At 46.5% G+C, this 13,738-nt stretch overlaps 1 protein-coding gene across 42 annotated transcripts in view; it reads left to right on the forward strand.

Moving 5' to 3' along the window:
* The window catches only part of BOC (BOC cell adhesion associated, oncogene regulated), a 76,534-nt gene that overhangs the window by 6,305 nt on the left and 56,491 nt on the right, over positions 1-13,738 (forward strand). The window contains exon 2 of one of the 42 annotated variants that reach the window (XM_047449179.1): positions 10,693-10,800. The exons of the other annotated variants lie outside the window; for them this stretch is intronic. The gene's annotated coding sequence lies outside the window, so the exon portion shown is untranslated. The remainder of the gene's footprint in view (positions 1-10,692; positions 10,801-13,738) is intronic. 42 annotated transcript variants of the gene reach the window in all.

Genomic DNA, 13,738 nt, shown 5'->3' on the forward strand with positions numbered 1-13,738 from the left:
CTTGGCCTGGCAGAGTGGCTCATGCCTGTAATCGCAACACTTTGGGAGGCCAAGGTGGGAAGACTGCTTGAACCCAGGAGTTCCAGGCCAGCCTGGGCAACATGGCAAAACTCTGTCTCTACAAACAAACAAACAAACAAACAAAAATTAGCCAGGCGTGGTGGCATGCGCCTGTAATCCCAGCTCCCTGGGAGGCTGAGGCAGGAGGATCCCTTGAGCCCAGGAGGTTGAAGTTGCAGTGAGCTGAGATGGTGCCACTGCACTCCAGCCTGGGTGACAGAGTGAGACCCTATCTCAAAAAAAAAAAAGAAAGAGAGATGGGAGATGGGAGAGGGAGAGGACTTCTTGAGAGAGAGAGGAGTTGCAATCTCAGGCAAAGTCTTAAAAGCAGAGATGGGACCAATAGTACCAAAGTGTTCTTTTATCTCTCCTTGTATGTGTTGTTCATTATTTTCTTCCCTAAAACTCATTTTCCTCAGTGAATGGTAGGCCTAAGTATGCTTGAGACACAACATTTCATGTTCAGCATAGTTTTTTTTTAAAATACTTTTTGGAAAGTTAAAACCTGGTATCAGCATTAACTGTGCAAAAACGCAGAAATCTGGGTCTTAAGTTCCTAAAACCAATTATTGAGTGGCTTTCGGGGAGAAAAGGAGAAGTGTGTGTTTTTGTAAAAATTTTCATCTACATGAGATTTTAGCTGAGAATCCTAGAAATACATGCCTGAATTCAGCTTTTTACCTTTCAATTCCATTTGCCATTTGTTTTACCGTCTGTGGCTCTGAAATCATTCCCACAGTACCAAGTGAGGAGACATTTATTTTAAGGACGTGAAAGTTGCCGGGCTCTCAAGTTGCCCAGAAACTTCCTTGACTGCTAAGAGGAAGATAGCACACAGGATGGGAGCTACAGGTGAGGAAAGCGGAGCCTGTGGAACCGGCTGGCCGTGGAGGCCTTGGAGCCCCCGCCACCAAGTCTACGTTGGAACTGGACTTCGGAAGAGAGCCCTCCCCCACCTTCCCTGGCTCTGCCAGTATTTTTCCAGATTACTCCCAGCCAAGTGCCTTTACTAGTCTGAGCTCACCTAATATTACAATCCTAGCAGGTTTATTAGGTGTGGGTCACAGTTAATTGGAGAGGAAAATTGGGGAGTTCTGGGTTTATTCGTTTTTCTGTGAAAGCAGAGGCTGCTCTGTCTTTCTGTTTTCGGTCTTGTGACTATCATTTCATAGTGGTGTGAGGGGAGCTCTTCCCTCTTACATAGCTGTGCCCAAGTGAGAGAGACTTAAAAATGCAGTCAGTCAACACAGTGCCCTCTTTTGCAAGTGAGACCACATCAAGTCATGGAAATTCACAGCTGTTTACCTCTGTCATTATGAATGGATGTTTTGTAGTGAACAAGTTATATATGAATCTGCTGTATTATAGCCAAGAGTCTAATGGATCATCCAATGTACAGACTTCTGAAATAATCACCTGCAACCCTGCCTTCAGAGTTTTTGTGGTCTGCCATCTGCGAAGGCCCCACAGTCAGGTGCTTTTCATTCTATAGGCTTCTGTTGCAGAGCTGGAGGCTGGGAAGTTAGGCCTGGCTTTGCCTGTCTGGACTGTGGCAGCTTGCCAGCAAGTGTCACTGGGTGGTCTTCAACAATGGGAGAAGGGGGGTGGGGGAGCTCAGCTCTCCTCCCCAAAGAGGAACAACAAGGTGGCTTTCTATAGGTGGGTTTTGCATTGGCAACCAGTCCCTTTGTCACTGACACACCATATAGGTCTTGAGTGTGGGTGAAAAGAATTGAACAGGTTGTCCAAAGGTGGTATTGTGATGGGGTTAATGTGTGTTCCAGATTTTACAAATGAAGCCTTGTGTTTATGTGGCAAGCCTCCCTCCCAAGAGAAGGAGCACACACAAGCAGCAGGTACCCTTCATCGTGTGAGGGAAGAATTATTATTCTCACTTGGCATGGGAGACGCAAACCTCCCGGTGCAGGCTTTCACCCCATCGCTTAGGGAATTAACGGTGGACCTGGAGGGCAAACTGAGGTTGGTTTGTCAGTGCCAAAGAGGCAGAGCTACCTGCCTCCACTGCCCTTCCAGCGATGGAGAGAATGTAACTGCCATTTAATGAGCACCTACTGTGTGCCAGGCCTTGTGTTAAAGCACTCCAAGCATTATCCCTGCAATCCCCCAGCAGTCCTGGGAAAATGGGCATTATTATCCTATTCCACAGATAAGGAAGCTGAAGCTTAAATAATTGTAGGGACTTGTTCTAGTCTCACAGCTGGTAAATGGCAGAGCCAAGATGTCATTGCAGGTCTGCCGAGTCCAAAACTCAAGTTTTTCATGAAAAAGAAACGAAGCAAGCTTTCCCGCAAAGCAGAGCTCTTCTAGCTTCGGGAAAACTGTCTTTTACAGCTAACAAAGTGTAAGGGGTAGGTGAGGGTCTTTATAAGACTTGCTGTTAAGAGACTCAAATTTAAAACTGGGACTACAGCTAGGAGATTCTGAATGGCTCAGCAGCAGCCCCACAAGAGAAGCCAGGCTTTGTGGCTTGGCTGGTGTCAGACTTTGCGGCCAATGGCTTTGTGGCATAGCTGGTGTCAGACTTCGCAGCTAGTGGTGAAAGCGACCTCCAACTTAGGTTTCATCTCAGAATATGTCTCTTATTTCTTCCCCCCTCCCCTGGGATGTTGTCTGAATTGGCTGTCCTGAGTCTGCTGCTTCTTAATCTGCCAGATGAATCCTTTTGCTCCTAGGATCTCTGCAAGTCTGATCAAGCAGGTCCTCCATGCTCTTGGTGGGGTGAGGGGGAGAAGATATTTGGCCCAGTAGATACTTTTTACTGGTCAGGAGAAGTGGCAGCTTGTACAGAAAACACCCTGGGGAAGGAAGTAGCAGCTTTGACAGACAGGTAACTGACAGAAGATGGTACCTTCCAGGCAAATACTCATAGAGCAGCCACCAGAAAGAATTCGACAGGCAGTTACCTGCAGAACAGTAACGCAGACCTCTCTACTGGCTTAGGAGAGTGATGGCAATTTGGCTGCAAAGGACATGTAGTTAGTTACCCTTGTTCCTTGTTTTTTTGTAACAAACATGGAAAACCTGAAGCCACGGTTTTCTGGGTTTGGGGGCACACAGGACACCTGGGTTTAAGATATAATTATGTGACCAGCTACTTGGGTAATGGAAATGAGGTCATGGAAACTCAGTGTGACTTTATTTCCCTGTTTTTATATGCTGCCTACTCGAACATTATGAGGAAGCAGTGAAATGGGAGAGGCGTTCCTCTAAACGTGAGAAGTGCCTTCTCACCTCAGAAGCCCAAGGCCATTGGCTTCTGTGCTTACCCAAGTTGAGTTAGGAGATGAGAAATTGTAGGGAACTGGCCAGAGGTTAGAGTCTGGGGACAAGGGATTCATCTGCTTCTGTGGTTCTGTTTTTATTTCTCAGGGCAGGAGCCTGGATTAGAGGCATTTTGGTCGTGTTGTCAGAGACCCTCCTGGATCCCTCCAGACAAGCTGCCTTTCCCAGCCTTGTGGGATCGGGCAATGTAGGGTCTCAGGTCCAGGAGGAATTGAGAGAGGAAAAGGACTCGTGGCCAAATAATTCTGGTTAACATTCTTTTTTGAGAGAGGAAGGAACAGAAGGCATCTGTGAAGTTTCCGGAGTTCCCATCTGAGACAACAGAAGTCAGGAATGAATCTTATTAGAAGAAGGGTGGAGTGCTGGGAAAGATGGCTGTGTTGCAGGAAGGAGCCATATTTCTGGAGCCACTTCCAAGTTTGAGATTGTGCAGCATCCTGGTTGAGGGGAGGCTTTGGAACCAGACAAGCCTGGGTTTCAGTTCTGGCTTTGCCAGTCGATAGGTATGTGACCCTAGGCAAATTACGTAGACACTGAGAACCAGTTTCTTAGGGTTATTGCAAAGAAGAGGCAAGATAATTCACATAAAGCACACGAAATGCGTTGGGAGCAGTCTGTAGAAGGTAGCTGTTATTATTAGGGAAGGAAAGAGGAACAGAGTGAAAGGAGGGTTGCTGGTAGGATTGGGCAGCTAGAAGGATGAGCAGGTGGGAGAGCCCACTGATAGAGTCCTCACTGGCTCAGGGTTTACGGAGAGAAAGAAATGTGAGGATGGAGAGATAGAGGAACACATGGAGGGGCAAGGCCCTGCCTCAGGTGCACCGTTCGATGCCAGTCCTTGGTCCTGGTCACTGGGTAGATAAACCCCCCATGCCTTCCCCTCTGCTTCTTCCCCAACTCAGTGTATCCCATTCTACCAGGTGTGCCAAAAATCTTGGAGTCATCCTTGACTATGTTCTTTCTCTCATCCTCCACTTTAAATTGGCCAGTAATATTGGCCTTACCTTCAAAATGTTTCCTGAATTCTGTACCTTCTCACCGCCCTGTCTTCTATCAACATTTCTGGCTTGGATTATCAAAATAAGCTTCCTAAGTGTTCTCTCTGCTTCCACCCATTCTTCATAGAAAAATCAGTGTCACACTTTTGAAACAAAAGCTAGAGAAGGTCACTTCTGTGCTCAGAACTTCCATGGCTTCCTGTTTGATTAAGAGAAAATATCCAAACACCTCACTCCTTCCCTCTCAGGGGTCCTCACCTCACCCCTTCCCTCTGAGGCCTCCCTTCCCCCCTTGCCTACTCCCACAGCCATGTTAGCCTCCTGATTGCTGCTCACACTGGCTGGGCAGCCTCCTCCCAGGGGCTGTGTGCTTGCATTTGCCCACTGCCTGGAAGGCTTCTCCCCAGATGCCTGCACAGCACCCTCCCTCATTTCAATCAGGCCCCCTGCTTTCATGGTCACCTAAACCTGACCGCACTTTATTAAACAGCACTCCCACCATCATTCTCTCTCCCTTCAACCTAATTTCTTTTCCTCCATGTTATCACCTCCTGGCTCGTGTTTATTTGTTCTTTTGGTTACTGCCTGCTTCCCCTCTAGACTGAAGATCAGTGGAATCAGGGACTTTGTTTTCTTCCTCACTGTCTTCCCAGTGCCTAAAATAGAACCGGGTTGGTAAGTGGTGCTCACATTTTTTTTTCATTTTTGCTAGTTTGCAGGCCTTTTCTGAATCTCAAAAGCGATGTAATAGGAGTTTCAAACAAAATGAAATAATTACATATAGATTTATGTAAGAAAATGCATTAAATGCATTCTGGAGTATATGTATATGGGGGGAAAATAGGAGAGATGTCCCGAGAATGCTACTGTTAAGAGTATCTGTTTCAGAGAAGCCAGGAAGCAGTGTGCAAGGCTGCAACAGAAAGAGCCCAGTTTCTTCTCTCTTCCTCAAGGTAACTGCCCTCAGGAATGTCCGTGGGTGTACCGGTTGCTCCGTGTCGGGGGATGTAAGCATGGATGCCCTGTCTGCCTTTCTCATCATTCACTTAAGAGGAATCTGTTGAACGTCTGCTTTGTGCACAGCACTGTGCTAGGCCTGGCTAGGAGACGCAGGGGGGTGCCCAGCTCACACTCTCATACCACCAGCAGTTTGCAGTCCTGTTTTTTATCTGGGATTTCCTGAGTGTGCCTGGGCCATCCACTTTGCCGCCCTCCTCCCTTAGCAACCTGAGTTGATTGGACTTCCGTTGAATCTGGTTTGGAACCACAAGCCAAGTACAGGGGGTGAATTTTAAAACAGTTTAGTTCCCCACACACCAGAGAGGCTGGTAGGGCTGGCCCTGTGCCAGGCACACAGGTGACAGACGGTCCCTGCCATTGGAGAGCCACAGGCCGTGGAAGTAAGGAACTGCACATTGGGATGTTCACCCAGAGGGGGACAGATCTGACTTAAATTGTGTCTCAGTCACTTCTGACTTGGTTCTAGATTTGGAAGCTGAGAAAAAATAAAAATAGGGATAAAGATCCTAAGAGGTCTTATGCTGACACCAAAGGTGGACAGATGTGCCTGAGAAATTACACAGGCAAATCCCAAACCCCACATGTAAGCCTCTCAGGGAACTGGGAGAAGAGCCCAAGCCTCCAGCTCCAGTTTTGTTTTGTTTTGTTTTGCTTTTAATTAGTAGCCCTTTTTAAAAACAATTTCAGGTTTATAGAAAAGGTTAAGCAAAAAAGTCCTATACAGACTTGTCGTTCCAATTTCCCCCAATCACTTAACCCCCACCAGGGTCCCCTATTATTAACATCTTACGTTGGTGCAGTATATCTGTTCCCATTGATGAGCCAATACTGACACATGATTATTAAGTAAAGTCCGTAGTTTACATTAGGGTTCACTCTTTGTGTTGTACATTTACTGGGTTTGACAAAATGTGTGATGACATATATCCACCATGAAAGAATCATACAGAATAATAGTTTCACTCCCTAAAAATCCCTTGTGCGCCACCTATTCATCTCCCCCTCCCTCCCCCAGCCCCTGGCAACCGCTGATCTACTATTGTCTCTCTAGTTTTGCCTTTTCCTGAATGTCATGCGGTTGGAATCACACAGCCTATGCCTTTTCAAGATCAGCTTCTTTCACTTGGCAATCCCCTTCAGTTTTAAGTATGGCTTTCTCTCCTTCCCTGCCCCATACACACTTCCAGCTGGGGAGCAGAGACTGAAAAAGGAGCCCAAAGTTGTGCGCTGAGACCCCTCGCCCGCAACCAGAGCCCTGCAGGTCTGCAGTGTGGTCCCTTTATCAGCTTCCACTGAGCATGCCGGCCCTGGCGCTACTGGAGTTTAGCCCAGGCTGGTAAACTGTCAGGAGCTGCCTGTGTTTGGGTTCCACATCTGGAAGTATCAGCTGTGCAGACCTTCCCATCCCGTCCCTAAACAGAAAGACACGAGGAGCACATGGGCTGTTTGCCTTCCTCCTCGATAGTTTGTTTTACTTGCTTTGGAGCTGCGGATAGCGGTGGGGAAGTGAGCGTCCCCTGGGCAGGCAGCGCTCTTGCACGCCTACATCCACATCCGGTGGTGGTGGCAGGCCACAGATCCCTTAGCTTCTAGAGTTTCTGCTTTTGGTTCCGCCCAGGTTCCAGTGGTGTCTGTGTTGAGCCCTGAGAATGATTGAGGGACCTGTTTTGTGGTCATTGAGGAGGAAGACCAGTAAGGCATAATGAGTTTGAGAGCATTTTCCCTGCAAAGAAGTGCCTCTTTCTTGAGTCAGCCTCGAAGACTAGGATTCCCTGGAGTTTGGTGACAGAACCCCCAGGATTCAGAACACTCACCAGCCACTCTCAACACAAGGCATTCTGGAGGACAGGTGATGATGGTGGATTTTATAAGGCATAGAATGAGGAATCTCTTCCAAGCCCACTCCAACTCTGGACCACATTTAAGAGAAAGGAAAGTGCATGTGAATTGGAGGGGGTGGGGGTGGGGGGTCACGTGGACCATCTGATCCAGGCTGAAAAGCTCTCAGGGCTGAGGAAAGGTAGACAGGGTTCCAACCCTGAGGAGCAGGGACTTAAATTTAAACCTGCTGGGCACAGTGGCTCATGCCTGTAATCTCAGCACTTTAGAGGCCAAGGCAGGCAGACCTCTTGAGGCCAGGAGTTTGAGACCAGCCTGGCCAACGTGGCGAAACCCCATCTCTACTAAAAACACAAAAATAGGCCGGGCATGGTGGCTCACGCCTGTAATCCCAGCACTTTGGGAGGCTGAGACCAGGAGATCGAGACCATTCTGGCTAACACTGTGAAACCCCGTCTCTACTAAAAATACAAGAAATTAGCTGGGTATGGTGGTGGGCGCCTGTAGTCCCAGCTACTCGGGAGGCTGAGGCAGGAGAATGGCATGAACCCGGGAGGCAGAGCTTGCAGTGAGCTGAGATCACACCACTGCACTCCAGCCTGGGCGACAGGGTGAGACTCCGTCTCAAAAACAAAAACAAAAACAAAACAAAAACAAACAAAAAACCACAAAAATAAGTCGGGTGTGGTGGTGCACGCCTGTAATCCCAGCTACTCAGGAGGCTGAGGTACAAGAATCACTTGAACCCAGGAGGCGGAGGTTGTAGTGAGCCGAGATTGCACCACTGCACTCCAGCCTGGGTGACAGAACAAGACCTTGTCAAAAAAAAAAACAACAAAAAAAAACCCCAACTTCTGTTTGGAATAAATAGAGAGCTGAGGCCAGCCAGTACTTTCTCACGCTGAAAGACACTGGCCAGGTATTTCAGAGTTCTGTACAAAGGAGGAATGAGACTCACAGCACACGTCAGAAAGTCAGCTTTTGGACTATGGAAATTCCATGCTGAAGATCCAAGTCCACACCACCTCCCCCTCTGGTTTTCTTTTCTTCATCTGGCCCATTCTCCAATCTATAGCCTGACCAGTGACTCACTAAGAGTGCTGGGCTGCCATTCAGTGGCTCTGCCTACCCCATGTAAGTGCAGTATTATATATTTGCCTGGCTAATATTACATGTCCCAGGTTTGTGCCTAAGACTGTGAATGCTAATGCAATGGAGTGTTTAAAGCCCTTTCAGCTCTTCAGAGAAAGAAGTACACTCTACCAGCAAGCTAGCCTTGCTTTTGTTAATTATGGAATCAGGGTGCAGTCTCCTGGCCCCTGTCTTCTTAGGTCTAACTGTAGAGCCTGGAAGGCTGTAACGGTGGTTACTAACCATTACCTCATCTAGAAGCCTTGGCCCTTGCCTCAGTTTACCTGGAGAGGCAGATGATAAAGAACTACTGAACTGTGTAAGTGTGGGACCCATGTTCCTTATCAAATCCAGCCTTCACTTCTAAATCTCACTTCCTACATTCTGCCCCACAAGTAGGTACAGTGATAGTCCCAAGAAAGAATCCCAGACTGGCTTCCGTGGATACACACCAGGTATCCAGTGTGTGTCTATGAGCAGGGGCCATATTTTCTGAACCAAAAGACAAATGTATGATCTGAAAAAGCATTTTGTTATTGTTCTTTTCTTTCCTAATGTGGGGGGAATGGGGGAATCTCAGAAAGGCTAATTTATAAATATCTTGTAATACATGAAAAAAACTCACCTTTATCAAAAGGAGTGGCATTCTGTACAGTAGGCTTATCCAGAACCTCCCAGTGGTGTGGTCTTCAGTCAGAGCAGGAGGTGCAGAGAGCGCAGAATGGGTCTTTCTCCATGTGGGGTGCTTCAGCCAGTGCTGGTGGAAAGAAGTCTCTGGTGTGGTCTGGGTCTTCTCTAGTACTTTCTCTCCAGAGCAACCTGTAGACATGAGGGTGGGCTTCTGGTTTTACTGACCACCATTCCATGTCCCTCTCCAGAAAAAGCCAGCCTCCAAGCCATTGGAATGGGGAGACCCCTTAATAACTAAGTTCCAGATCCCTTGAAAGTCAGGAAGTAAAGAGGAACTGCGTGTCCAATTGAGATGGAATCTTAAGCAGGCAGAACTAACTTTCCCCACATGAGAAATTAACCAAAATGCCAGTGTTAATACCCTTAATCTGGATGGGGGAAAGGTAGTGAGACCTCATTTCTGTGCATCTCAGCCAAGATGAACTGGCTAGGGGGTGCTGACCTGTCTCCCTTGTGGAAATAATGCTACCCACTAAAGCTTGTGATGCCTACTGTAGCCTGCCTCTCCTCAGTCACTTGAGGTTTAGCACGGAACTGTTACTGCTTATCCGAATATCAACAATAAGCCTTGCCTGACAGCAGTACATTCATGCCTCTTCAGTCAATTGCCATAGGGGCCTGAAGACATTTGTAGCCATCAGGGTGGCCTTTCAATTGACCAGTTAACAGATATTGAGCACTATGCCTACTGCCTTCAAGACATCTATATTCTAGTTTCTGAATATTTCTCAGATCACAACAAGAGGTCATACTGCCTTGAACTGCATTATCCATATAATCTCCTTAGAAGAGTGCTTGGCTTAGGGTAGAGGCTTTGATGGTCTCTATTATTATCATCATTATTATTAGCTTGAGATGAGCTGCTGATTTATAATTCTCCCACAAGAACCCATATTCTTGGAGAATTTGTCTATTTGAAGAGTTTTGTCAATTATGGTAAGTTGTATAGGTAGAGAAGTGGAGGCACAAGGAAAAGTACTGTGTTCATAAGCCCAAGCTGGCTTCCTTTATGGGTCTGCACCTGGACCTCAAGGCCTCTGCGCATGGTTGGTTCTACAGTCAGGGAAAAGCCAGTCAGAGTTGGCAGCTTGTCATTGGTGAGATATGCACAGTCCTGGGAAAAGCCCTTCCTGGATAGGGAAGCCCCAGAAAGATGGAAGTGGGGAAGAGCCAGATGGCTCCCAGTATTGAGTCCAGAGATTCAGGGAGATAGGCCCCTCAAGGTTTCCTCTGGCTGTGACCAGCAGTCCTCTTTTCAGGAGTAGGGCTCCCTCTTTGGCCCAACCTTGCAGAACCCTCTTTTCCACCAAAACCTGGGCAGTCACTGAAACCTGCCTGACAATGCAGCTTGCCTTAATTGAAAGGACATTGGGTGGTTGGGTGAGTGGGGGTTTCTGCACCTTGGTGCAGGATTGGGAAGGTTTGAGAGGAACTTATTCTAGTTATCCGACTGAAAACAAGTGTTTTATTTTGTAATTAAAAAAAAAACTTTACCCTTTAAAAACTCAAAGAGCTATAAAAGCACAAAGAATAGTATCATGAACCCCATGTACCCATCACCCAGATTCAGCAGTTATCAAGACAAACAAGTGTTTGGGTTTTTTTTTTTCTTTAGTATGATTTTGTTTTCATTACTGTGCTCTGTGTGCAGGATAGGTCAAAGATGGATGCCACAAGGTTACTCTTTCCAAAAGAAGTCTGTAATCCAGCTTTTCTACCACCTTCCAACAGTGAAGTGAAAGGAAAGAGCATTGCCCAGGTACTAGGGTTTGATTTGCGATTGTTCCCTGGTGCTCTGAGATGTTTCTGTGCATCTCCTTTACCATATGTTGAGCTTGAATTTTACCTTTGGATTCCCAGAGCCGAGTATTTAATGGATGTTCAATAAGCATTATTGACTTGTGAGGCAAGTGATTTCATGAGACATTGGCTTTCCATCTGGACAGGTATAAGTAAGTTAGTGCTTAGCGCACCATCCTGGGGGGACGGGGCAGATGATGGTGTAGAGTTGAGGTGGGGCCCATTATTCGAATCCTAGGGGACACTGAGAGGGAATGACAGAGCCTCTCAGGTGAAGGATTAGGAGTACAGGGCTCCTGATTTTGCTGAGAAGGAGGAAGTCAGCAAGGAGGAATAGGAGAGACTGGGGCAGAACTGCTCTCTGTGCCTGGCCCCCAGATTCAGTCATTAATAGGCCCTGGGTGAGGTAGGTCAGGATTATGAGAATGAAGACTCCATCTCCAGACCCTTTTTCTGGGTGGCCATAAGCAGCCTGCAAGCTGCCTGCACTACCAGGCCCCATGTGCCATTCCAGTGACTGTTTTATTCATTTTAAAGTTGGCAGGAGAAAGCAGGCAAAGAATGGGGCTGTTCCAAATGTTGGGGGAGTGGGGTCCACTTCCTGTCTCTGGAGTGCACTGCAGTCCAGCTGCTCTGAGCTCCTCTGGGTCAGGGCTGGGTGGGGTATGTAGTTAAAGGGTATGAAATAGGGTGTTGTAGGGACAGGAGGGAAGACACTTCAAACCCTTCCCCTCTGATCTGATCCCAGGGTGTAGCAGAGGCCTCAGGCAGGGTGCCTCCAAGGCCCTGACTTTCAGCAGGCAACCTGCCCCTCCCATCCCTGCCTGGTCTTTTTCAGTTTAAAGTTCCAGCCTGCTCCTCCGCTCCCATACATGCATGATGTATGTGTGTGTGTGTTTTAATTTTTATTCTTGGCAGAAGTTAAGACACAAGATGGATTTGGAAGGAGATTAAACTAGTCTGGGTATATGTTGGGCAGCAGGCAGCTTCATTCCTGGACTGGGAGGGCCGGGAAGGAGTGCGGCTGCAGCTCTGAGGTGGGGTAGAGGGTTGTCTCCTCCCCCAGTAGGGACCAAACTGAAAATCGACTCCTTCGGGAAGGCCAGGAGCTAGAAGCTCACTGTTAACCCTTTACAGCTGGTTTCAGTGGAGCCAAAGCCCTCTGGTCTGATCTGGTATTAAGAGGATGTTGGGACCCTTGGATGGCCAACGGCTGTTCTACTTCTCAGTGATCTGAGTCCCTGGAAGCTGCTGGCCTTGTTAAAGCAGTCATTGGTGGCTTCTCAGGCTTTGATGTCCAAACGCTTAAATTTGCGCATGCTTGGAAAACATCCCACCTCTGCTAGCATCTACCTTAGGGCCATCCTATCCCTGCCCCTAGAAGCAATTGTTCCTGGCCCCAGTCAGCAGCAGCCACTATGGCTCAGGGACCTGTTTGTCACCTTTGCTACTGTAGAGGCCGCCTTGGCCCCCAAAGTAGATGTTCTTTGCAATGGCGGCCTCCTCTTTCATCTTTATTTCTGTGCAAAGAAGAGAAAATGAAGAATCTGAAAATCCAGAAAATATCTGGGGAAATCTGAGAGAAGCTTTTTGGGAAAAATGTTTTCTTCCTTAAAATGTATTAAGATATTTAATTTGTGTGAGAAAAAATATGTATTTTAGCTTTAAAAATTATAAGAATTTCTTTGAAATGATACAGTAAGGAACATCTTTATGCAAAGTGTTCAATTTCAAACACCGTATCCAGTACAGAACATTTCTGGCAGATATTCCTTACCAAAATGACCCCAAAATCCACGGCAGAGACACCTGCACTGGGATTCTCAACGCTGGCTGCACATTACTATTTCCAGGAAGGAGTGGTGAAAATATTGATGTCAAGCTCCCATCTCCCCAGAGATTCTAACTTCATTTGCTTGAGGTGCTGCCCAGGCATTGTTATATTTTAAAGTATCCCCAGATGATTCTCCTGTGCAGTCAGAATTGGGAGCTACACATTTAATGTTATCAGAGAACAGAAGGAAAATGAGAGAACCTAGGTTAAGAAATGAGAAGCATCTTCTTGTCTCTCAGTACATAGTGGTGCATATCACCTGGATCCTAGATTCAAAGCGCTGCTACCAATCTTTGGGCTGTATTTCAATACTCAGACACTCAGGACCGACTGTAGGTGTGGAGAACTTCCGGGACTGCAGGTGCAAATGCATCTTCAGGAGTACGTATGCAGAGTACATTGTGAGAATCTGCCAAACCAATCCATCCTGAAACATGGTGGCTAGTGCATGATTCCAACTCAGACTTACTTTGTTTTCTGCCTTTCTTAATTCCTTTGTTGAAAACAGTTTTGTTGTATAACTGCTTTAAGCTGCCAAGGACCCCAAGACCAGCAAGCAGGGGAAGCAGACAGTCTAGGCTTTGAATCCTTTACTTAAGCAAGTTCCTTAATCTCTTTGAGTCTCACTTGCTGCATCTGTGTAATGGGATGAGAATACTACCGACCTCATATAGTTGTTTAGTAGTTAGACAAGATCATTCATATGTATTAGCTCATTATCTTGCACATGTTAATTCAACAAGTGGTCAAATAATTTTATTTAAGATTGGTAGTTTCTTTTTGTTGTAAATATATGCCTCAATCCCATGTTGCAACAAAATCTAGTGTAGTACATTCAATAAATCTCAGTGATTTTTAACTTGTATTTACAAATCAGTAGGAAATTAGTAATTTAGCAGGAAAAAAGGCAATCTTTAAATGTTAACTTGCTCAACATGACTATTTCAGCAAACTAAGTATTAGATGGTATATTTTATATAACTTACTAAACAAAGCAATTTCAGATCTGTAAAGTTTGTTAACAAAATATTAAATGTATTTTCTTCTTTTTCCCCAAAAATAC

This window comes from Homo sapiens, chromosome 3 (genome assembly GCF_000001405.40).
Source record: "Homo sapiens chromosome 3, GRCh38.p14 Primary Assembly".
Classification (NCBI taxonomy): domain Eukaryota; kingdom Metazoa; phylum Chordata; class Mammalia; order Primates; family Hominidae; genus Homo; species Homo sapiens.